This window comes from Homo sapiens, chromosome 11 (assembly GCF_000001405.40).
Source record: "Homo sapiens chromosome 11, GRCh38.p14 Primary Assembly".
NCBI lineage: Eukaryota > Metazoa > Chordata > Mammalia > Primates > Hominidae > Homo > Homo sapiens.
Window position 1 is genome coordinate 98,449,444 of NC_000011.10, and position 23,377 is coordinate 98,472,820.

The following is a 23,377-nucleotide window of genomic DNA, read 5'->3' on the forward strand; positions in this document are numbered from 1 at the left end:
CTTTTGAGTTATTGTTAAGGAAATTGAGTAGGAATTTAATTTGCCTGATAAGTGATCACTTCTTGCTGAAACAGCATTGTATCACCAAGGATAAAATGAATCCTATTAAAACAAGGCAAGACCAAGCTGTAAAAAAAAAATTTGGGAGTTTTGAGATGAAAATACTCACTGTATTTTGCCAGTGTATTGGCATCCCTCATAAGTACATAATTTCTGCCAGTTAGTAATTTTGTATAAAACGGATGACAGAACAGTTCTCTTCATTGAAATGTAGGAAGTGTTTCATTGTTTGCATCTCTATGGTGTCAGATATTAGCTTTAGCTTATAACATATGCTCTCATTGCAGAGTTTATTAGATTCTCCTAGGTAGAATTACAAGAGCAAATATAACAGGCTTTGTTCTGATTTTCCCATATCCTTAAGGTCTATTATTTTGCAATATTTTGACATTTGAAAAAAAATTCCTCTGGCAAATACTTAAATTGAATTTCTTAAGAATTTTTTATTCAAAATGTTTCTTAATGCTGTGAATGAAAAGCTTGGCTCTATGTGTGTGTGCGTGTGAGTCTGTGCATGCATATATATGTGTGCTTGCATATGTATACTGAAGGGCATATGTGATATATGTACTGAATTAGCCAACATTTTCCAGAGAAACAGAACCTATATATAGACAGATGATAGATGATAGATAGATAAATAGATGACAGATAGATATAGCTATAGATGTGGATATAGATATAGATAGATATATAATCTGAAGACAGAGGAAAGCCAGTGGCGTGATTCAGTCAGTCTGAACATATGAGAACCAGGAGCAGCAATGTGCAAGGGTGGGCAAAAGAAGATGGATTTCTCAAGCACAAACAGGAAGCAAACTTGCCCTTTCTCCACCTTTTGTTCTATTCAGGCCCTCAAGGAATTGGAAGATGCATACTTCGAGTGACTTTCTTCACTCAATCCACTCAAGTGCTGATCTCATCCAGTAACATCCTCATTGACACACCCCAAAATAATGTTTTACCAGCTATCTGGGCATCCATTAGCCCAGTCAGGATGACACATACAATTAACCATGGCATGCATCCGTGCACATATGTTGGTGTAGATGAGTGGTTAGGAAACAAAAGTGTTGAAAAATTTATATTGTGGATATTCTCTTACATTTAGCACTATTTTATCTAAAATGTTTGGATAATCAATTGACTAAAAAAGATAAAACTGGGAAAAAATAAATGAGCATATAAGAGAAAACAATAATGAATCAATTATATGTGAGTTTTTCAGATGTCTCCCCTCATCTTTCATTTCCTTTTCAAATGAATAAATTAAAAGCTTCCAAAATAGCAGTCGAATAATTTTAGGTGTAAATAAACTTGGAAGATTTCTGCAGTTCCATACAATTGTTTTACTAATACGTTAAAGGATTCACAGTGAAATAATTAAGACTAAATAACAAGGATAAAATTTTACCTTAAAGAACATATTTTTGGCCCAAGTACGATGGGCCACAGCTCTTTACAAATTAGAATTTAAGAGTTAAAGTGCTAAATTTTGTTGGTGCAATTTATTAGGTACTAATGGAAATATCATGCTTATGTAAAAATAATGAATTAAGATTGTTATTTACAGGTACTTAAAAGTATATCTGTTTGATGATGTATTCTTAGACATATATAAATATTTATACAAATGCATGTATAACAAAAATTGTGATAAGTACAAGGATAAAAATATTGCTTAATTTGCACTGGGGATTTGGGGAGATTCCTCTGAGTGATAATATTTAAATTTTGATGAGAATCAAATGTAGGAATTAGCTAGGTGAACAGTAAGACAGAGTGTCTCAGGGAGAAACAATATTATGTACTCAGGCCTCAAAGCAGAAGGCAATATGTTGCTCTTGCCTTTTCCAGAATGTTGTAGAGTTGGAACAGTATGTAGGGTTTTTAAATTGTCCTCTTTTACTTAGTAATATGCATTTAAGTTTCTACCCTGTCTTTTCTTGTCATAACAGCGCATTTTTTTAGCACTGAATAATATTTTGTTGTCTGGATGTAGCACATTTTATTTATTCCTTCACCTATGGAAGGACATCTTGGTTGCAAGTTTTAGCAATTATGAAAAAGGAGCTATTAGTATCTGTGTATGGGTTTTATATGGACATATGAACTCAACTCCTTTGAGTAAATATCAAGGAACATGAATACTGGATAATATGGTTAGAGTATGTTTTGTTCTATATGAAACTGCCAAACTGTCTTTTTTTTTTTTTAGTTTTGCATTCCAACCAGCAATGACTGGGAGTTTCTGTTGCTCCACATGCTCGTCAGCAATTGTTATTGTCAGTATTCTGGAGTTTAGCCATTCCAGTGTCTCATCGTTTTACCTCTACTTTTTGTATACAGCTTTAATGCTCTCCCTAAGAAACACAATATAATACCTAATCTTTTCACAGTCTTCTAAATATTAATATTGTATCACTTGTCATAAAATGTAGAAAACTTCCATTTAAATCTTTCCTTATCATCTTTCATTTTATCACTGTCAGATGAATTGTATTTGCATACATCTAAACTCTACATGCCTGTGTTATAATTTTTGTTTTAAATAGTGATTTAAGTTTTTGCTTTTGCAATCATAACTATTTAATCTTGAATCTTTTCCACTTCTACTTAATATTTTCAATGTTTTTCTTGATATATTTCTCTGAAAAACTTTTCCCAGATATCTAATATTTCTGATATTTTTATGTTACCAACTCAAGTGTTGATTCATGTCCACAATCTTCCATTTTTGTGTACTTTTTAGAATCCTCATTTCCTTCCTTCCTTCCTTTCCTCCTCCTCCTGCCTCCTCCTCTCTCTCTCTCTGTCTTTCTTTCCAGAGTCTCTTGCTCTGTCACCCAGGCTGGAATACAGTGGCGCGATCTCTGCTCACTGCAGCCTCCACCTCCTGGCTTCCCAAAGTGTAACATTACAGGCGTGAGCCATCGAGCCCAGCCTTTCCTTTCCTTTCTTCCCTAGAGGTTTTAGTTGTAATCAGCAAAGGAGAATGGCTTTATTTTATTTACACTACCATTCCCGAACTCAATTTTTACCTCACAAAGTTTTGATATATTTTCAGTTTTATTTTGGTTCAACTATTTTCCCCAAGATTTCTTCTTTGACATGTGAGTTATTTAGGAATGTGTAACCTAATTAGCAAATTTGGGATCATATGAGAGTTTTATTTTGTTGGTATTTTCTAGTTTAATTCTATTGTACTCAGAGATACTACTCTGTGAAATTTCAATTATTTTACATTTTCAAGACATTTCATAAGCAGATTTATAGTCACTTTTGGTAATAGTTGTCCGTTCACTTGGAAAAATATATAATCTTGACTTGTTTAGTGGGACATTATATCATTTTATAGAAACACAGATACATATACTAAAAAGTCAATTAGTTCAAATTTGTTAATTTGTTTTCTAAATCTACTTCATTCTTAATGAATTACTTTCTCTTGTTCTATCATCTACTCAAAGAGGTAAGTTAAAAATATACAACCATGAATGTAGATGATTTCTCTTTCAAATGCTCAATCTGTTGAATTTAGCTATATATAACTGGATTTGTATGGCTAGGGTTACCTTGTGAAATAGGAAAAGTTCCCTTTTTCCCCTAGCAGAGTGTGTGATGGGGGTGTGACTTGCTTCTTCAGTGCCCTGCTGCTCAAACCTCTAGGGGAGCATACAGATGGGCAGGCTATAGGGCTCTGACCCCAAGGCAGCGTCTAGGGGTATGTTTACAGCTGAAACCGCAGCGGGCATGTGTCTTGTGTTAATCAGTTCAGTTAGACCCCTGCCTAAAGGACAGTGGGCTTTCTGTATCCCTGGGTTCTTGCCTTGGTGTACCAAAAGAATTGGATCACATATGGGCTTGGAAAATGAGTGCAAGGTTTTATTGAATGGAAGTAGCTCTCAGCAGACGGGGGAGCAAGAAGGAAGATGGTTTTCCCCTGGAGTTGGGCTGCTTGGTGGCCTGGGCTCTCCTGCGACTGCCCTGGCCAAACTCTGCATCTTTCTGCCGGTCGGTGGCCTGCCGGCATGCTGGTGCCTATTGGTGCGTTCCTCTCAAAGTCCAGCTTCCGGTGCGTTCCTCCGCTGGTGTGGTCCTCTTGGCGTCCAGATGCCTGTGTGTCTGCTTGCTAAGGTCTTGGGGTTTTTATAGGCACAGGATGGGGGTGTGGCAGGCCAGGGTGGTCTTGGGAAATGCAACATTTGGGTGGAAAACAAAAATTCCTGTCCTCACCTAGGTCCATGGGTACAGGCCCGGGAGTGGAGCCCTAGCCAGGGACCATGCCCTTTACCCCTTCCGCATCATTTAAAGGGACCATGCCCTTCCCTTCCCAGCAATTCCCTTCCTCCCTTCCATATCATTTTCCCCCTCTGAAGAAGTACGTGTAACTGCCTTTAAAATATGGATGATGACTGGTCTTAGCCGCTTCCTGCTGATGGCGTATTGTTTTGGGGAAAACAGTAGTCAGATTCCTCCCAGAGGTCTGTCTAAGGATTCCTTGCAAAGAGCAGCCAATGGCTTCTAGGCATGAGAGGAAAAAAAAAAAAAGAAACAAGTTTTATAAGGTTAAGTATGCATGGGTTAAACATGTGTATTATACAAGGCAAGAATGTAGTGCCAAAGATTACAGAGAAAAACATGAAATATACTAACAACAACATTCTACCCCAAGCTGTTTCACCCTGGTGAAAGAAATTAAACCTTGTATGGGAGTGGATAAACTTTAGAAGAGAGATAACTCTTCTTGCCATAGTTTAGCAGTTAACAGGTGTACCTTAGGAACTCTGGGGTTTGTGGGCTTGCACAGTGACCATTAAAACTTCTGCCTCTTTCCTGTATCTCCTCTTTCTTTCCTGGGCCTCCCCGTCTCTATTATAAAAGACCAAGGTGGCCATTTTCAGGAGGGTCCTCTAATGTACTATCTGGTCCCGGGGCCCATTTCTGCAACTTCCTCCTGATATCAGGAGCTTCCTGAGTAATAAACTTTAGGATTAGCTATTCCTTGACTACATCAGGAGATAGAGAGGTGTGCTTTACCAAGGCCTCTCTTAGTCTTTTTAGAAAGGCAGTGGGATTTTCATCAAATACCTGGTCAAGCATCGACAGTTTAGTATAATTGAGAGACTTGGTCTTAGTCCTACATAAGCCCTCCATTATGCACACCTGAAAGTGTCTCCTCTTCCAGGCTTCCATCTCATCACTGGGATCCCATTTAGGGTCATTGCCTGGTACTGCTTCTCTTCCAGTTGGATACTATTCACCCCCTTTCCTCATGCTATATGTGATACAAAGCTCATCCCCAAATCTCTCTGCTGCTTGCAGAGTGACCTGCTTCTCAGTGCCTGTTAGGATCTGATTCAAAGGTAACATAATGTCTCTCCAGGAGAGTTCAAATATTTGGGTGAAATTCTGGAAAACCTCTATATATCTATCAGGGTCATCTGAAAACTTGCCAAGATCCCCCTAAATTTGCTTTAAATCCTGTAGGGAGAAGGGGTCCTGAATCTTACTGGGCCCAAATTCAATAGGCATCTGATGGAGGGGCAAGAGTGAGACTGGGGCTTGTTCCGAGTGAGGATTTCTAGGAGGGGGCAAGTGAGAGTCTGAAGCTGTGTAGGGAGGTTGTGGTAGACCTGGAGGAGCAGGGCTTCAGGGAGCTGGCTCCCCCACTGGGAGTGCTTCTGGGATTCCTATTTTTAATTCCCTGGGCTTGCCCCTTGCATCCTTCCCTGAGATGGCAAATAGGAGGGCTGGATCAATCCTACATTGCTAGCAAAGATCTGGGTTGCCGAGCCCCGGCAACCTTGGCAGGTGCCGGCTATAGGTACCTATATGCAGTATGTACCCGTGAAGCAGGGAAAACCTGGAGAATAGGAATTAACTGCCCTCACCTATGCCTCCCTTTCTCCTTGCTGTCAGCAAATTTTGAGTTCCCTGGGCCTGTTTATACCATGGAGCATGGCCTTTTTCCATTGGGTGAGGTTCAGTCGGCAGGAATTGGTGCTTCCCGTTTACATTGTGCCTGTTGCCTGGCTTTGGATCCCTCGGAACTGGTCTTTTTTTTTCTAGGGCCTCAGCCTGAAGGTTGGAATCGAGTTTGAGACTGAAAAGGTATTACAGAGGCTTTTTGTATCCATTTAGTGTCTCAGATAAGCCCTGCCGAATTTGCAGTTAGCAGCCAGCAGGAGTCTCTCCTTCCTTAACTTCCCTATCAAAAACAGAGCTGAGAGGGGGCGCACTCTCATTTAGAAAAGAAAAAAAGAGAAAAACAGTTTATGGGGCCAAAGGGGGGGAGATTCTGTGGGAAGAACCCCTTGCTTAGTGCAAGTGGGCCCCTCTAATCCTTATAACTTTCCCATCCTTCCCATGGTTCAGACCAGGTTGAATTCTTTGACCAGGAGAGGAAAGGTTCTGTTGGTGTGACCAGCAAGAAGCAAGCTGTAGGGTCCCGGCTGCCACAGGTTTTCTCCTGTCCCTCTCGTGGCTGTTGGGCTCAGCCTTTTGCCTGCGGTGGGCACACCTAGGCACCTCATCTCGGAGGGGAAAGGATAAGGAGAGGTGCCCTGAGCTGTGTGTGCCTGTGGCTGTCGAGGCGGAGGCATACATGCCACCTCCAGGAACAGTTGGTCTGATTTGCAACTTTGGCAGCTGAGCCGAATGCTTATTTTACTTAGTAACATTGCCGCAGCCTGTAGCAAAACTCTTAACATTATAAAGGAAAAGATAAGAGCCATTTCAAACCGAGAGAGAGAAAAAAGGTGAAAGGAAAACAGAGCCTCTTGCTTGCTGGAAAGAAAGCAAGGTGGCAGGGTTTTGGAAGAAAGGCAGACCCAGCAGTTTTGCATTGGCTCCCAATATCCCAAGTGAGCCCCCAGTTGAATGGGAGAAGCTCCTGTGTCCCCATAGCAGGGCGTGCAATGAGGGTGTGACTCACTTCTTCAGTACCCCACTGCTCAAACCTCTAGGGGAGCATACAGACCAGTAGGTCGTGGGGCTCCAACCCGACGGCAGTGACTAGGGGTGAATGTTTACAGCTGAAGCCCCAGTGGGCATGTGTTACAGGGTGCTGTTTTAGTTTAGCCGTCCACAGGTGGCTTGTGTTAGTCAGCTCAATTAGACCTCTGTCTCATTGCAAGGACAGAGGGCTTTCTGTAACCTGGGATTCTTGCCTTGGTATACCAAAAGAATCAGATCACACATGGGCTTGGAGAATGAGTGCAAGGTTATACTGAGTGGAAGTATCTCTCAGCAGATGGCGGAGCCAGAAGGGAGATGGTTTTTCCCTGGAGTTGGTCTGCTCAGTGGCCCAGGCTCTCCTCTGACTGTCTCAGCCAAACTTCATGTTGTTCTGCTGGTTGATGGCCTACCAGCATACCAGTGCCTGCTGATGTGCTCCTATCCGACATCCAGCTGCCCGTGTGTGCCTCTGCTGATGTGCTCCTCCCGAAGTCCAGCCGCCTCCCGAAGGCGCAGACGCCTGTTAAGGTCTAGGGGCTTTTATAGGCACAGGATGGGGGCATGGCAGGCGAGGGTGGTCTTGGGAAATGCAACCTTTGGCCAGAAAAACAAAAATGCCTGTACTCACCTAGGTTCGTGGGCACAGGCCCGGGGGTGGAGCCCTAGCCAGGGATCATGCCCTACCCAACTTCTGTATCATTTAAAGGTACCATGCCCTTTCCTTCCCAGCGCTTCCCTTCCCCACTTTTGTATCACTTGTACTTCTATAGAATTTTGGCACAAGATTCTGATAGAGATACTTTTTGTTTATCACATGCTGTTATTAAGATTCTTTTTTTCTCTGTTCTATACTTCTTGTCTGTATATATATGGTGGCTGGTATTAATATAGCTATGTTAGTTTTTTGTTGTTTGCTATTTGTATGGGATATATTTTTCTATCTTTTAAACATTTAGTATTCTTATATTTAAAAGTTGCCTCCTGTGTATAGCAGAAAATTTTTGCTTAATTTATTTAACTATTCTGATAATCTTTGGATATTACTTGGAAATCTTCTTCTGTATAAATTTAATGAATTCACTAACATTAATTCAGTTTAAGTCACAATCTTGTTTTTTGCTTTCCATTTTTGTTCATTGGTTTGTAATTTTTATCCCTCCTTCTTGTCTTCTTTCAGTTTATCATAATTTTAATTATTTTCTTATATCTCCTAAATTTGTTTTGTAAAATTTTATTCTTATATTCTTAGCATTTACCTAAAAAGTATAATATGCATTGCAATTTATTAAATTTTATGTTAAATCATGTTTTCAACATTTTCTGAAAAAAAAAGTAAATGACAATTTATCACATTTAATGAATCCCTCACCTGCACTGAGCTATGCTGTTTTCAAATACTCAGATTGAATATTGGATATTTTATGTTTTCATCAATGGGACCTGGGTCTTAATGAAGTTGTTTAAAGAGTGTTGGACTTGTTCTGGCTCACACTTAAGTTAATTGCAATTAGTTTGCTAAAATTGAGACTTGCTTAATTAGGGTAGATCCAGAGCAGCATTTATTATATATTTAATTTAGCTCCATACTATGGTGTGACCTTTCTGAGGAATCCACTCATTGCCTATGTATGATGAAGTCCCTTCAGTCTGGCTAGATGTGAATATAAAATACTTCCAGCTATGCATCAGCGACTAGAATTATTTAGTCTGTTGCTTTCTGGTGGTTTTCTCCCAGTAAGATGTAGTTTTTTCTCACACATGAGCAGATCAGTACATAAACAAAGCCTTTAAGGAAATATCGCTCCCTCACCCTCCATGAAGATCTTTAGAGCTCTCTCTGTGCAGTTCTGTCTTCTGCAGTACTGTCATGAAAATTGTAGCTTCTTGGGCTCCTTAGGAAACAGTAGGTTCCTAAGGAGACTCAGTGAGACTTTTAGACTCTGTGGCTTTCCCTTCTTGCTCTGTGGCTTGCAAATGGCATCCAGACAATGCACTTGGATAATCATAGTTTTTACTGTTTGCTTACTTTCCCTCTGTGACCACATCCCTATGTTGCGTATTGTGATGTCCAATATATTAAAACAGTAGATTGTAGTTTTCTAGTTGTTTATAATGGGAGAGCAATTCCTGGACAATCATGGTTAAGGCAGAAGTTCCTCAATTTTGTTTTGAAAAGAGATAGAATAATAAGACATGAACAAAGACATTTCTATGAAACTAAGTGATATGGTTTAGATTTGTGTCCCCACCCAAATCTAATGTTGAATTGTAATCCTCAGTCTTGGAGGAGGGGCCTGGTGGAAGGTGACTGGATGATGGGGGCAGATGGGTCCCTTGCTGTTCTCATTATAGTGTGTGAGTTATCACAAGACCTGGTTATTTAAAACTGTGTAGCACTCCCTTTCTCTCTCTTTTCCTCCATCTACGGCCATGTAAGACATGACTGCTTTCCCCTTCACCTTCCACTACATTTGTAAGTTTCCTGAGGCCTCCCCAGCATACTTTTGTACAGACTACAGAACCGTGAGTCAATTTGTTATACAAATTACCCAGTCTCAGGTAGTTGTTTTTTTTTTTTAAGACGGAGTTTCACTCTTGTGCCCCAGGCTTGAGTGCAATGGCTCAATCTCAGCTCACTGCAGCCTCTGCCTCCCGGGTTCAAACGATTCTCCTGCCTCAGCCTCCCGAGTAGCTGTGATTACAAGTATGTGTCACCATGCCTGGCTAATTTTTGGTATTTAGTAGAGATGGGGTTTCACCATGTTGTTCAGGCTGGACTCGAACTCCTGATCGCAGGTGATCCACCTGCCTTGACCTTCCAAAGTGCTGGGATTGCAGGTGTGAGCCACCTCGCTCAGGTAGTTCTTCATTGCAGTGTGAGAGACTAATACGTGGACACAAGTGATGTAAACCACTCACAGCTCTGGCTTCTCAAATCTTTGGGGTTATACTCTGCACTCTCTATAGATTCTTATTGGCCAGTTAGATGCAGAGAATCTGGTGAAAATCTAAAGACTAATAATGCAGCCACTACGTGGAAAACCCCTGCTTCTGTGATTGCTACAGAACCTTATTTTTGCCTCCCAATCTTATGTGTCCTTTGGCATATTCACATAATGAATTATGGGATGAGTGACAAATAAATATGCATTTTGTTAAATGGCTGACATTGTGGGTTGTGTGGGTACATGTTATCCCCTTTGATGCATGTGGTGCTGGCATCAGCCTTAATATTCATGTTGGTTCACTTAACGGAATTCATTGAACCATTGTTATTAGACATAACATGTAGTAGGTGATTCTGTGATAAATTAGGTATTTTTAATTCTTTCAAAGAACTTACACTTAGAAAGATAGACATGTTTAAATGAAATGTGGAATGATAAGTATGATAATGAATATCTTTGCAAGCTCTGGTAAAAAGCTGGTTAAAAAAAATGAAAGAAAAACAGAATTACCTGCTTTCCAAGGATGATAAGAAAGACTTAAATGAGGGGAACAGAAGTAAGCTGGATGTGAGGAATTAGGAACTATTAAGGAAGGACAGTACAGAAGAGAAAACATTTCAGTGCAGGACAAAAATTTGTGCAGAAATGGATTAAATGGTGGGGGTACTGTAAGTCTTTAGCACAACTTAATTAAAACTGCTGAAAACGAAAGATAAAAGAGAAATTTTGAAGGCATTCAGAGAAATATGATACATTACATTCAGGGAAAAAAACTACTTGAACAACCTAACTTTTGAACAGAAAACATTGAGGCCAGAAGAAAGTGGAGAAAATTTTAAAGTGCTGAAAGAAAAAAAAAAAGTCAATCAAAGACTTGTGTAACTAGTGAAAATATTATCTAGGAATGATGATGAAGAAAAGAAATTTTCAGGTGAAGGAAATCTAAAATAATTTATCACTTACAGATGAATTTAAAGAAAATGCTAAAATATTTTTAGGCTAAAGGAAAATTAAAAGATAAAGATCTTCATGAATGACATGAATTTTTGAAAATGTAAAACAAATGATAACTGAATAAATATAAAACTTTACCTTTTGCTTTAAGTTTTTAAAAATACAAATGTGACTGTTGAACATTTTATAATTATATCTATTAAAGTTGTTAAAATCTAAATAGCTGATGAGTACTTGAAATATATCTTATTTCCAGTGAGACTGAGGGATTACTTTTTAATTTTGTTTAACTGTATTACCTTAAATTTAAATAGCCACATTTAGTTAATAAGCTAATATACTGGACATTCTAAATCTATGCACTCCAATAAAACAGAGATTGATGAATGGTTACAAAGAAAGATTCTACTATGCCTCCTTCAAGAGATACCATTAAATAGAGAGACACAAGGTAAAAGTAAAAGTCTTTGCCACGCTAGCAGTAAATACAAAAAGGCTAGAGTGAGATGTATTCAACATTTTAATACCAGAATAATTTCAGATAAACATAAATTTACAAAAATAGTAGTGAGTTCTTATATACCCCATACCATTTCTATTATTAACTTATTAACGTCTTCTATCGGTATCACATATTTGTTATAATTAATTAATTAACCAAAATTAATGACTTTTTTTTTTTTTTTGGAGCTAGAGTCTTGTTCTGTTGCCCAGGCTGGAGTGCAGTGGCGCAATCTCAGCTCACTGCAACCTCCACCTCCTGGGTTCAAGCGATTCTCCTGCCTCAGCCTCCCGAGTAGCTTCCAAGATACCAACTAAGAATATCACATTACATCTAATCATCATATCTCTTTGGGCTCTCTTTGCTGTGAAAATTTCTCAAACTTTTCTCATTCTTGATGATCTTGACTATTTTGAGTACTTTTGAGAAGTACTGGTCAGGTGTTTTGTAGAATGTCTCTCATTTATAATTTGCTTGATGTCTTTCTCATAATATGGCTGTGGTTTCCATTTCTCTCAAAAATTTATGTGTTGAAACTTAATTGCCAATGTGATCGTATTAAGAAGTGAGGTCTTTAGGAGGAGATTAAGTCATGAGGGCAGTGCCTTCACGGATGGGATGAGGGCCCTTAAAAATAATGTGAAGGAGTGGGTTCACTCCCTTCTGCACTTCTGCTATGTGAATACAAAGAGTTTGTCTCTTTTTTACCTTTTTACTCTTTCCACCTTGTGGTATGCAATAAGAAGACCCTCACTATAAACCAATGCCATTGCCTTAATCTGGGATTTATTCTGCCCTCCAGAATCTCAAAAAATTAATTGCTGTTTTTTATAAATTACGCAGGATCAGGTATTTGGTTATAGTAGTGTAAATGGACTAAGACAGATATTGGTACCAAGGAGTGGGAATGTTGCTACAACATTCCTGAAAATGTAGAAGCATCATTAGTATTACATAATGGGTAGAGGCTGGAACAGTTTTGAAGTGAATGCTGGGAAAACATGTATTACCCTGAACAGATCCATAAAGGTGATTCTGATGACAGGTCCAAAAAAGATGAGAGCTGTAGAGAAAGCCTCAGCCTTAGAGATTGTTGAAGTGGTCATGGACAAAATGTTGGTAGAAATACAGATAGTAAAGGTCATTCTAATGAGGTCCTAGGTGGAAGTGAGGAATATCTTATTGGAAACTGGAGAGAAGGCCATTCTTGCTACAAAGTTGCAAAGAACTTGGCTAAATTGTGTCCATGCCCTAAGGATTTGTGAAGGCAGAATTTAACAGCAATGAATTAGAATATTTGTTGTTAACAAATCTCTAAGCAAAATGTTCAGAGTGCTACATGGCTTCTCTTTACTGCTTATAAAAATAAGAGAAGAGAGAAATAATATAGAGATGAAACTTACAATCAAAAGGAAAGAAGAATAAAAAGATTTTGAAAAATTCTCAGCCTGGTCGTATGAAGAATAAAAAGTGTGTTTAGGACAGAAAAACAAAAGTGGGGCCAAGCAACCATGGGATAAGGAAATTAGGATGTGTAGAAGGAAGCCAGAAGCTATTCATCAAGACAATGGGAGAATGACTCTAAACACATTTTGGAGATCTACCCTTCTATGTCCATCACAGCCTCAGATTTCTAGGGCCTTAAGCAGAATGGTATCCAGGGAGCAGCCCAGAGCACCAACGGCCAGGGCATCCCTGGGACCTCAGAGCTTGTTGCCCAGTACCACCTTAAGTCTCTGCTCCCTGCATTCTGGTGCAGGGTTCCTTGGCCACTCCAGCTATGGCTCAAGAGGACTCAGCTGGAGCTCAGGCCACCCCACAATGGGCACATATGGCAAGCGCTAGCAACATCCACATGGCACTCTGCAGGCATGCAGGGTACAAGAGCTGTGGAGACATAGCTTCCTTTAACTAGATTGCAAGGGATTTCTTTGTGAGTACTGGGGCTGAGGCAGAGGCAGTGCTGCAGGGGCACCTGCTGCATGGGGCAGTGATACTATCTAGATCCCTGACTATGGCAATGCCCAGCAGAGCTGTGGGATCAGAGTCACTGCACAGAGGCCCCTCTAAGGCAATGCTTAATGAAGCCATGGGGGCAGGGCCCTCGCTAAGACCCCAGACCTATAGAGCCACCAGCATACAACAACAGCCTAGCAGAGCTGCAGGTACTGGACTTTAACCCGTGAGTGCTGTCGCATGGACTGTACACACTGAAGTCAGGGAGGCAGGGCTGCTAAGGGTCTTAGGGGTCCAACCCCCACTCCAGTGTGTCTAGAAGGCAGAATATGGAGTCAAAGAAGATTATTCTCAAACCTTAAGGCTTAATGTTGCTTTCCCTGTTGAGCTTTTATCTTACTTGCTACCTATTACTGCTTTCTTCTTGCCTACCTCTCCCTCTTGGAATGGGAATGTTTATCCTATGGTTGATCCACCATTGTATTTTGAAAGTGTCTATCTTGCTTGATTTAACTTGTTCACATCTGAAGAGCAATTTATCTCAGATAAATCATACCTTCAGTCTCACCCATATCCGAATTTTTTGTTTTTTCAGAGATGGGTTTCACTATGTTGCCAAGGCTGGTCTTGAACAAGTGATCCTCCTGCCTTGGTCTCCATAAAAGCTAGGATTACAGATGTAAGCCACTATGCCTGGCCCATATCTGATTTAGATGAGACTCTGGACATCAGACTTTTGAGTTAATACTAGAACAAGTTAAGACTTTCAAGGCTATTGGGATGGAATAATGTACGTCATGCCAGAATGACATAAAGTGGGGACAATGGGTGGAATGCTATGGTCTGAATGTCCTTCAAAATTCATGTGTCTTGTTCTCACTCATAGGTGGGAGTTGAACAATGAGGACACATGGACACAGGGAGGGGGGACATCACACACCGGGGCCTGTTGGGGGATGGGGGGCAGGAGAGGGAGAACATTAGGACAAATACCTAATGTATGCAGGGCTTAAAACCTAGATGGTGGGTTGACGGGTGCAGCAAACCCACCATGGCACATGTATACCTATGTAACAAACCTGCAAATACAAACCATGTATTTGCGGAACAAATACATGTGTTCTGCACATGTATCCCAGAACTTAAAGTAAAATTTAAAAAAAAGTTTTTAAAATCATGTGCTTTAATTTCCAATATGATAGTGTTCAGAGGTGAGGTCTTTAGTAGGTGATTAAATCATAAATGTGGAGCGCTCATGGATAGGTTAAGAGCTCTTACAAAAGAGCTGGAAGGAGTCGGATCAGTTTCTTCTGTTCTGTTATGTGAGGAAACAGGGTTCATCCCTTTTGCCCTTTTCATCTTTTCTGCCATGTGAGGATGTAACGTGAAGGCCCTTGTTGCACATCCAAATGCCAGCACCTTGATCATGGATTTCCCAACCTCTTAAACTGTCAGAAATACACTTCTGTTTTTTATAAATTACCACGTCTCCAGAATTTTGTTACAGCTGCACGAATGAGTGAAGACAAATAGACTTAAAAACAATGTTTTAGGAAAAACACCATAGAGGTAAAGTGGTAGATATTATTAACATGACTTATCTCTGTTTATGTTTACCTCAATTATTTGGCTGAGGTAAGATTGTTGGTTAGTTTTATCCACTCTTAAGTCATTCTTAATCCCACCACTCTCCATACTGTGCACATTCAGAGAAAGTCACTATGTGCATTTAAGGAGGGAGATTATAATCCAACTTCTTGAGGAAGGAATATGTGTATAAGTTAAATTTTCCTGCATGGGAAATTTATTTTCTCTCAACCATGTACTTATTGATATAATTTGCTTATATCAGTATAGACTAAAATATACTAATGTTGTTCTGAGCTATAATCAAGTATCATTGTACTTATTTTGTTGCCCAAATTATTACAGGTATGGTCATTGAGAGTTCTTTCCATTGGATCCTGTGTCCCTTTGACATACACTCATCAGTGGTGATTTTGCTGTTGTTTCTGTTATTGTTTAGCACAACTTTCTAGTACCATAAAATGCTTCTGCATATATCCTGCCCCAGTCTTAGAATCAGCCATTTCTCCATGGATCTCTAGTTTCTTTTTTTGGACAGTAGTATTAGAAAACATGATCTGACCACTAGCTGTGCTGCTTGCTACTGGATGTCACTGCTTCTAGCTGACAGATCTAGACACTCAGTTGGCAGAGTAAGGAAATGTATATATGAATACCAACCCATATTTGTGTATGTATATGTTATGTAAATATAAATACACACGTATCTGTAAGTATTTCTATACATAATAATATGTATCTGTTAAACTAAAGATGAGTTTATTTCCATCTGTAATTCGTTACCACCTGGATCAGTCCAGCTCTTATATTATTTGCATATTTTGACTTTCTGTGGTTTTAATTGTGCATTTTATATGATTATATTTTATCTCTTAGGAAATTGACTATAGTTAAAATGTTTCATTAATTGTCATAGTGTTTTTAATATGCATTTTAAACTAATCTTAGGTAAATTTAAAAAGCAGTATAAAATTTCATGTGTAGTGTGGGTAGGTTATAACAACTTACACCTAATTCATCTCTCTAATCCGTTACAATTTATTGTTATTCATTCCATTCATCCATATGCTACTATCACCCAATACATTGTTATTATTATTACATCTTTTGCATCAATAACAAAAATATTTTTTAAACTTGACCCTCATGTATACCTTCTTCTATATTTCTCCTTCTTTATGTAGATCTGAGTTGCCAGTTTGTATTATTTTTCTTCTCCATGAAAGAATTTTTAAAACATTTTTTGCATAGTGAGTCTATTGATAATAATTGAATGCCATAACTTTTTGATTATCTGAGAATGTATTTGTTTCTCCTTCATTTTTGAAAGATAATTTTATTGGATACAGAATATTAGCCTGGTAGGTTTTTCTTTTAACACTTTGAATATTTTATTTGTTTTTTTTCTTGCTTATGTGGTTTCTGATGATAAGTCCATTGTAATTTTTACCTTTCAACTGTATGAGTTAGACGTTTTCACTTCTGAGTTCTGACAAGACATTCTCTTTATTATTGCTTTTCTGAAGTTTGCATATGATATTCCTAAGTGAAGACATTTTAGTGTTTATCCTGGTTGCTGTTCTGTAAGCTTCCTTCATTTGTTGTTTGGTGTCTGAGATTAATTTTCAAACAAACTTAGACAATATTACTTCAAATTTTACTTCTATTCCATTATCCTTTTCTTTCTTGAGTTCTAATTATACGTATGATACATCTTTTAAAATGGTTTCCCAGTTCTCGAATATATTGTTCTCTTCTGTTCATTTTTTTTTCTCTTTGCATTTCAGTTGGGGAAGTTTCTTTTCATCTATTTTTGTTTGTTTGTTTGTTTTTGTTTTTTTGAGACGGAGTCTCACTCTGTCACCCAGACTGGAGTGCAGTGGTGCGATCTCAGCTCATTGTAACCTCCACCTCCCAGGTTCAAGTGATTCTCCTCCCTCAGCCTCCTCAGTAGCTGGTACTACAGGTGCCTGCCACCATGCCTGGCTAATTTTTTGTATGTTTAGTAGAGATGGGGTTTCACCATCTTAGCCAGGATGGTCTTGATCTCCTGATCTTGTGATCTGTCTGCCTTAGCCTCCCAAAGTGCTGCGATTACAGGCCTTTTTATCTATCTTTAAGTTCACTTATTGTTTCCACAGCTGTGTTAAGTCTAGTGAAGATCTCATCAAAAGTGTTTTTCATTTCTGCTACAGAGTTTTTTATTTTTATTATTTTATTTTGATTCTTAGGACTTCCACCTCTGCTTTCATTACCCATATTTTCTTGCATGACTTTTTCTTTTCCATTAAAGATCTTAACATATTAAGATATATAATAGTTATATTAAATTTTCTGTTTGATAATGATAGATGCAGGAGGCAGATTAGGAGGAGTGTCCCTGGAGAATCTCCCACTGGCCTGGGAAGTGGGAGAACTGGGTGGAGCCATGGGAAGTTCTCGCCTTTGCCAGGAGAAGCCTGGTCTCTTCAGTTCCTATTTGGTGACCTGCAATCATTCTGTGAGATGGGAGCCCCCTGGCAGGAACTCCTCTAGCTTTGCTAAGAGTTTTTTGGGTTTTTTCCCCTTTTTTCCCAATAAATTCCACTCCCCTCACCCTTCAATGTGTCTGCATGCCTAAGTTATTCTGGTTGTGACACAATAACCCAGATTTAGCCTACTAAGGAGCAGAAATTCTGCAGCAATAATTCCAACATCTGTGTCACCTGAGTCTTGTTTTTATGCTTGTTTTAGCTTTTCATACTTTATTTTTTATTGTCTTTTACCATGACTCATATTTTGTTGAAAGCCCAAATGATGTAGTAGGTAACGGAAACTGAAGTAATAGGCTTTTATTTTGTAGTTTCATGTTAACTTGTCTAAGAGTTGGCCCATTTCTACTATTTGCTATAGATTTACATGCCTTTGGTTTTTAATTTCTCTAATGTCTTTTATAAAAAATTTTTATTTTATTTTATTTTATTGTGTTTTTTGGTCTACCTTGTTGACTTTAGGCCTCCTTAAGCCCTCCTCTTGAGAGAGTATCTGTGTTTTATAGCTCATTCAGTTGCAACCCACTGTCATGCTGAAGCTTTCTTTGTGTAGCAGAGAGATGTGAGAAAGGGAAACTGTTGTATTATTTCATGATAAAATCTCAGACTTTTGGTAGAACTGTGCCCTGGCATATGATCCTCACAACTTTCTTAAGTTTCTGTTTACCCCCTTGGTTGAGGCAGGAAAAGCAGAAGAAGCTGGAGTGGGAAAATTGTCCTACCCTCGGGTAGAATAAGACTGCAGTAAAGTCTTTTTCCTTGGTGAATAGATGTTTGCTTTGGAGAACACTCCGGGCATGTTTTACAGTGGTTACTTTTCAACTTCCAGACCCAGGAGAAAATATTTCTTAGCTCTTTACTGTGAGACCCTGATAAGATTACTGAAGATAAAACCCATGAAAATGTAGGGTACTCTCAGATTACCTCTCCCAGGAGTTTCTCACCTCAAGTTAGTCCACTTGTGGCCTCCAGCTATTCCTCAAGATTACCTTTTTACATGTTCCTGCAAGCTTATATTTCTAGTCTTTTCACCTCCAGATAAGTTCTGACTCTGGATTTTCTTGTCTCTCCAGATTTCAGGGTGGTGATTTGTCATAAACCTCAGTTCTATAACTGGTCCAAAAATGTCACTGATTTACAATTTGTTTAGTTTTAATTTTAGTTTTTTGTAATAAAGATATATTGACTTCCCAGCACTTCATACATTGGAACTGCAACCAGGTTTCCTGATGTGGTATTTTAATATAAGATAAAATAAAATAGATTCTAGACAAAAATTTTAAAAATTACCAAAACTAGAGGGACTTTTACAATAAAAACATAAAAACATGTAAAGAATACATACAGCTAATTGAAAAAGTATATGCACTAACAACTAAGATTTGAAATACATGAAGCAAAAAATTAACAGAATTAAAGGGGAAACAAATAGTTCTACATTCGTGGTAGAAGTCATTAATACCTTCTCTCAGTAATTGATAGAGAAACTACCTGAAATTAGTAGAGACAGAAAATATGTAAACACTGCTGCTATGGACTGAATTTTTGCACCCCTCCAGATTTATATATTGATGCCTAAATTCCCAATGTGATGGCATTTGGAGCTTGGGCCTTTGAGAGGTCATTAGGTCACGCAGGTGGAGCCCTCATTAATGGGGTTATTTTCCTACTGGAAGAAACATGGGAGAGATGTTCTCTGCTCTCCACCACATGAGGATCCAATGATAGTATGGTTATCTGCAAACCAGGAAGTGTGCTTTTACCAGAACCCACCATGTTGGCACTCATGGGTCAGATTTCCCAGCCTCCAAACCAGTGAGAAATAAATTTCTGTTGTTTAAGCCACCCAGCCTCTGCTGAGTTACAGCAGGACAACCTTACTAAGACAAATACTATCAGCCACTTTGATCCAATAATATTCATAGAAAACTGCATATAATTATGACAGAATACGCACTTCTTTCAAGTGTACATGTACATTCATTGAGGAATTGCATGTGCTAGACTACGAAAAGGTCAATATATATAAAATTATCTACACCGAACCCAAATGAAATTAAATTAGAAATAATAAGAAAATATCTAGGAAAACCCTAAATTACAGAAGACACTTGAAATAATTCGTGAAGGTAAAAACATAAGGGAATTTTAAAAAATTAACTCAATGGTAAAAATAGATGTGAAATCTGTAAGATAAAATTAATGTTGTTCTATGAGCAGAAATTATAGCTCTGAATACTTATATTAGGAACTAAAATAAAAATCTAAACCAAGAACATAAGGTTCAACCTTATTAAGCTAGAAAAGTAAATGCAAAATAAACCCAAGTACAGAAAGCAATCAAATTAGAATAAGAGCTGAAATTTAATGAAATCAAAATAATAAGACAATAGAAAAAATTAGCAAAGCCAGAAGCTTATATTTTGATAGATCCACAAAATCAATAAAATCTAGCTCTGCTGATCACATAAAAAAGAGAATAAACACAAATCACCCATTCAGCATTGGGAGAGTTATCACCAATAGTTCTGGAGAAAGTAACTTTGAAATAATAAAAGTTATAAACAATTTTATGCCAACAAATTTGATGTCTTCAATAAAATCGACATTTTTCTTGAAATACATTATTTATACAAATTAATGTAGAAAAACAAAAAATATCTGAACATCACCTTAATTATTAAGGAAATTAATGTGTTACTGGACTGGCCAATTAGTACATGTAAAAAGGATCAAGCTCTGGCTGGGCGCGGTGGCTCACGCCTGTAATCCCAGCACTTTGGGAGGCCGAGGCGGGTGGATCACGAGGTCAGGAGATTGAGACCATCCTGGCTAACATGGTGAAACCCTGTCAATACTAAAAATACAAAAAAAAAAAATTAGCTGGGCGTGGTGGCAGGCGCCTGTAGTCCCAACTACTTGGGAGGCTGAGGCAGGAGAATGGCATGAACCTGGAAGGCAGAGCTTGCAGTGAGCCGAGATGGCGTCACTGCACTCCAGCCTGGGTGACAAGGTGAGACTCTGTCTCAAAAAAAAAAAAAAAAAAAAAAAAAGGATCAAGCTCACAAAAAAATTTAAAACTATACCCTATAGAATGACTAAAATTTCTTCATTTACAAAATATGTTGATTGAGGAAGATAATCTCTAAAATTCTTGTTCACTTTACATTTTAAGAAAATAATATTGTAGACAAAATTAAATGTTTATAGGGATGATGCTAGAATAATGAACATAGCTTTTTAAATATTGAAATCTAATTAATGCTTTATGTCTCAAAGTCTGTCTTGATTCTTCCTCTTAAAGGTCAACAGTTTTGGAAAATAACAAGCATAGTTTAATTCAAAATGTATACTAAGCACTAAAGGAACATTAGTATACACATTAGTATGTGCGTTAGTATGTCACATACTTTTTGTGAGATAACATATGTATGTTGTATTACAAAAATTTAAAAATGTGTCACAGATATATTTATTATATCAATTGTATAATATTTTAGCTAATATATTCAAAACACATTCGTTGTTGTTAGTGATAAATATGCATGCATATACATTTATATTACTATATTGGTTAGAACCTCCAAATGAATGTCCTTCTTTCCTCAATCCTGACCTTAGCAGGAAATAATTCAGTTTTTTTTTAACCATTAAATGTGATTTTTTTTTTTTTTTTTAAACGGAGTCTTGCTCTGTCACCCAGGCTGGAATGCAGTGGCGTGATAGCTCACTGCAACCTCCGCCTCCCGGGTTGAAGCAATTCTCCTGCCCCAGCCTCCAGAGTAACTGGGATTACAGGTGCCCACCACCACACCTGGCTAACTTTTGTATGTTTTATTTATTTAATTTTTCTATTTTATTTTTATTTTTATTTATTTATTCCTTGGAGATGGTGTCTCACTCTGTTGCCAGGCAGGAGTGCAGTGGCACAATCTCGGCTCACTGCAATCTCTGCCTCCCGGGTTCAAGAGATTCTCCTTCCTCAGCCTCCTGAGTATCTGGGATAACAGGCTCCCGCCACCACACCCGGCTAATTTTTTGTATTTTTAGTAGAGACTGGGTTTAACTGTGTTAGCCAGGATGGTCTCGATCTCCTGACCACGTGATCTGCCTGCCTCAGCCTCCAAAAGCGCTGGAATTACAGGCATGAGCCACTGAACCCAGCCTATCTTTAGTTTTGAAGGAGTTACTGAATGTTTGTGAAGTCGTAGAAAGCACATATAACTTTATTTAAAAATCTTTCATTATTTTTTTCTCAAGGCCCTTCTAGTTCCTGTCTTTGGGCCTTTCTATATCTTCCTCCAAGTGGTCTTTGGACCCACTTCTCCTGTTTTCTGAATTATTTAGCAGGATAGCTTTGATATGCTTTGTAGAACCTCAAGGTAGACCTGCTCAAGGGGCCCTGGAGGCTCCCTTAAAACTTGCTGACACCTAAAGCATGTACTAAACAAACCATATACAATGAAAAATAATGGACATCTCAGCTGCTAAGAAAATAAAAATACACTACATATTAATTAACTTGGAAAATTTGACTACTACCTCTATTGATTTGGAAATTCATGATGGAACTACTTAATTGTTTTAATGAATATCTCTACTGGTCCTCACCTTCTGAGCTCTTTTGAGTAGCAGCAAGGGGCATTTCTGACATTACTTCTGATTAAAGTAAACATGTTATATTAGCTATCCATTGCTGTGTAACAATCTTATCACAAACTTAGCAGTTTAAATCAATACGCATTTATCAACTCAGCTTCTGTGGGTCAGGATTTTAACATAGCTTAGTTCTTTCCTTTTCTGAGGTTTTTATAAACCTATAACCCAGGTCCTGGCCTGGACTGTGGTCATGTCTGATATGTAATGTAATTACATATATTCCATCACCTTTATCATATGGTATTTTTTGTAAGGAAGCTACAGGTCTCACTTCAATCAAAAGAAGAGGATCATACAAGGACATGAATACCACGAACTTGGGACAAGGGAACCACCAAATATCTGCCATGTTTAGGCTACAGACACTAATCTTAGAAGTAAGTGCTTCTATGGAGCAAATGTTTTCCAAGAGAGATTTGATCAATGCTATTTCTGACAGAGCTAATTAGCCCCAAATATTGTAAATATAATAAATAAACAAATATCTATGGAAAGCATGAAGTATTTTAGAAAAATGAAAAAAATTAAACAGTATCCAGAAAGCAAGCAAAATTTGGGCAGTTATAAATAGAAATGGGCGGGGTGTGGTGGCTCATGCCTGTAATCCCAACATTTTGGGAGGCTGAGGCAGGAGGATCGCTTGAGCCTAAGAGTTCAAGACCTGCCAGGGCAATGTAGTGAGACCCCGACTCTACACCTTTTTAAAAAAAATAGCTGGGTGTGGTGGCATGCACCTCTAGTCCCAGCTATTCAGGAGGCTGAGGTGGGAAGATCGTTTGAGCCAAAAAGGCTGAGGCTACAGTAAGCCATGACCACACCACTGCACTCCAGGCTGGGCAACAGAGCAAGACCCTGTGATACGGCTTGGCTCTGTCCCCAACCCAAATCTCATCTCAAACTGTAATCCCATGTCTCGAGGGAGGGACCTGGTGCTAGGTGATTGCATAATGGGAGCACTTTCCCCCACACTGTTCTCATGATAGTGAGTTCTCATGAGATCTGATGGCTTCATAAGGGGCTCTTCTCCGTTTTGCTTGCTCTCTTTTTCCTGCCACCCTGTGAAGAACATACTTGCCTCTCCTCACCTTCTGCCAAGATTGTATTTTTTATAGTAGGGTGAAATGGACTAATAACCCTATCTCAAAAAATAAGTAAATAAAATGGAAATAGAAACCTATTATTCTACCAAATTCTGACTTCATAAATATTAGCATCATGGA

The 23,377-nt window shown here is 38.5% G+C and overlaps 1 long non-coding RNA gene across 1 annotated transcript in view, besides 1 other annotated feature; it reads right to left on the bottom strand.

The window, feature by feature from the left end:
* Window positions 3,634-4,134: an enhancer, noted in NCBI's record as "H3K4me1 hESC enhancer chr11:98323806-98324306 (GRCh37/hg19 assembly coordinates)". NCBI's record gives its function as "activates a minimal SCP1, AML or CMV promoter by ChIP-STARR-seq in naive H9 embryonic stem cells {active_cell/tissue: H9 hESC(naive)}" and the evidence as "EXISTENCE:reporter gene assay evidence [ECO:0000049][PMID:30033119]".
* The window catches only part of LOC105369455 (uncharacterized), a 42,339-nt gene continuing 22,881 nt past the window's right edge, over window positions 3,920-23,377 (bottom strand). Inside the window, exon 3 of the long non-coding RNA XR_947946.3 lies at window positions 3,920-4,584. This is a non-coding gene — a long non-coding RNA (uncharacterized LOC105369455). The remainder of the gene's footprint in view (window positions 4,585-23,377) is intronic.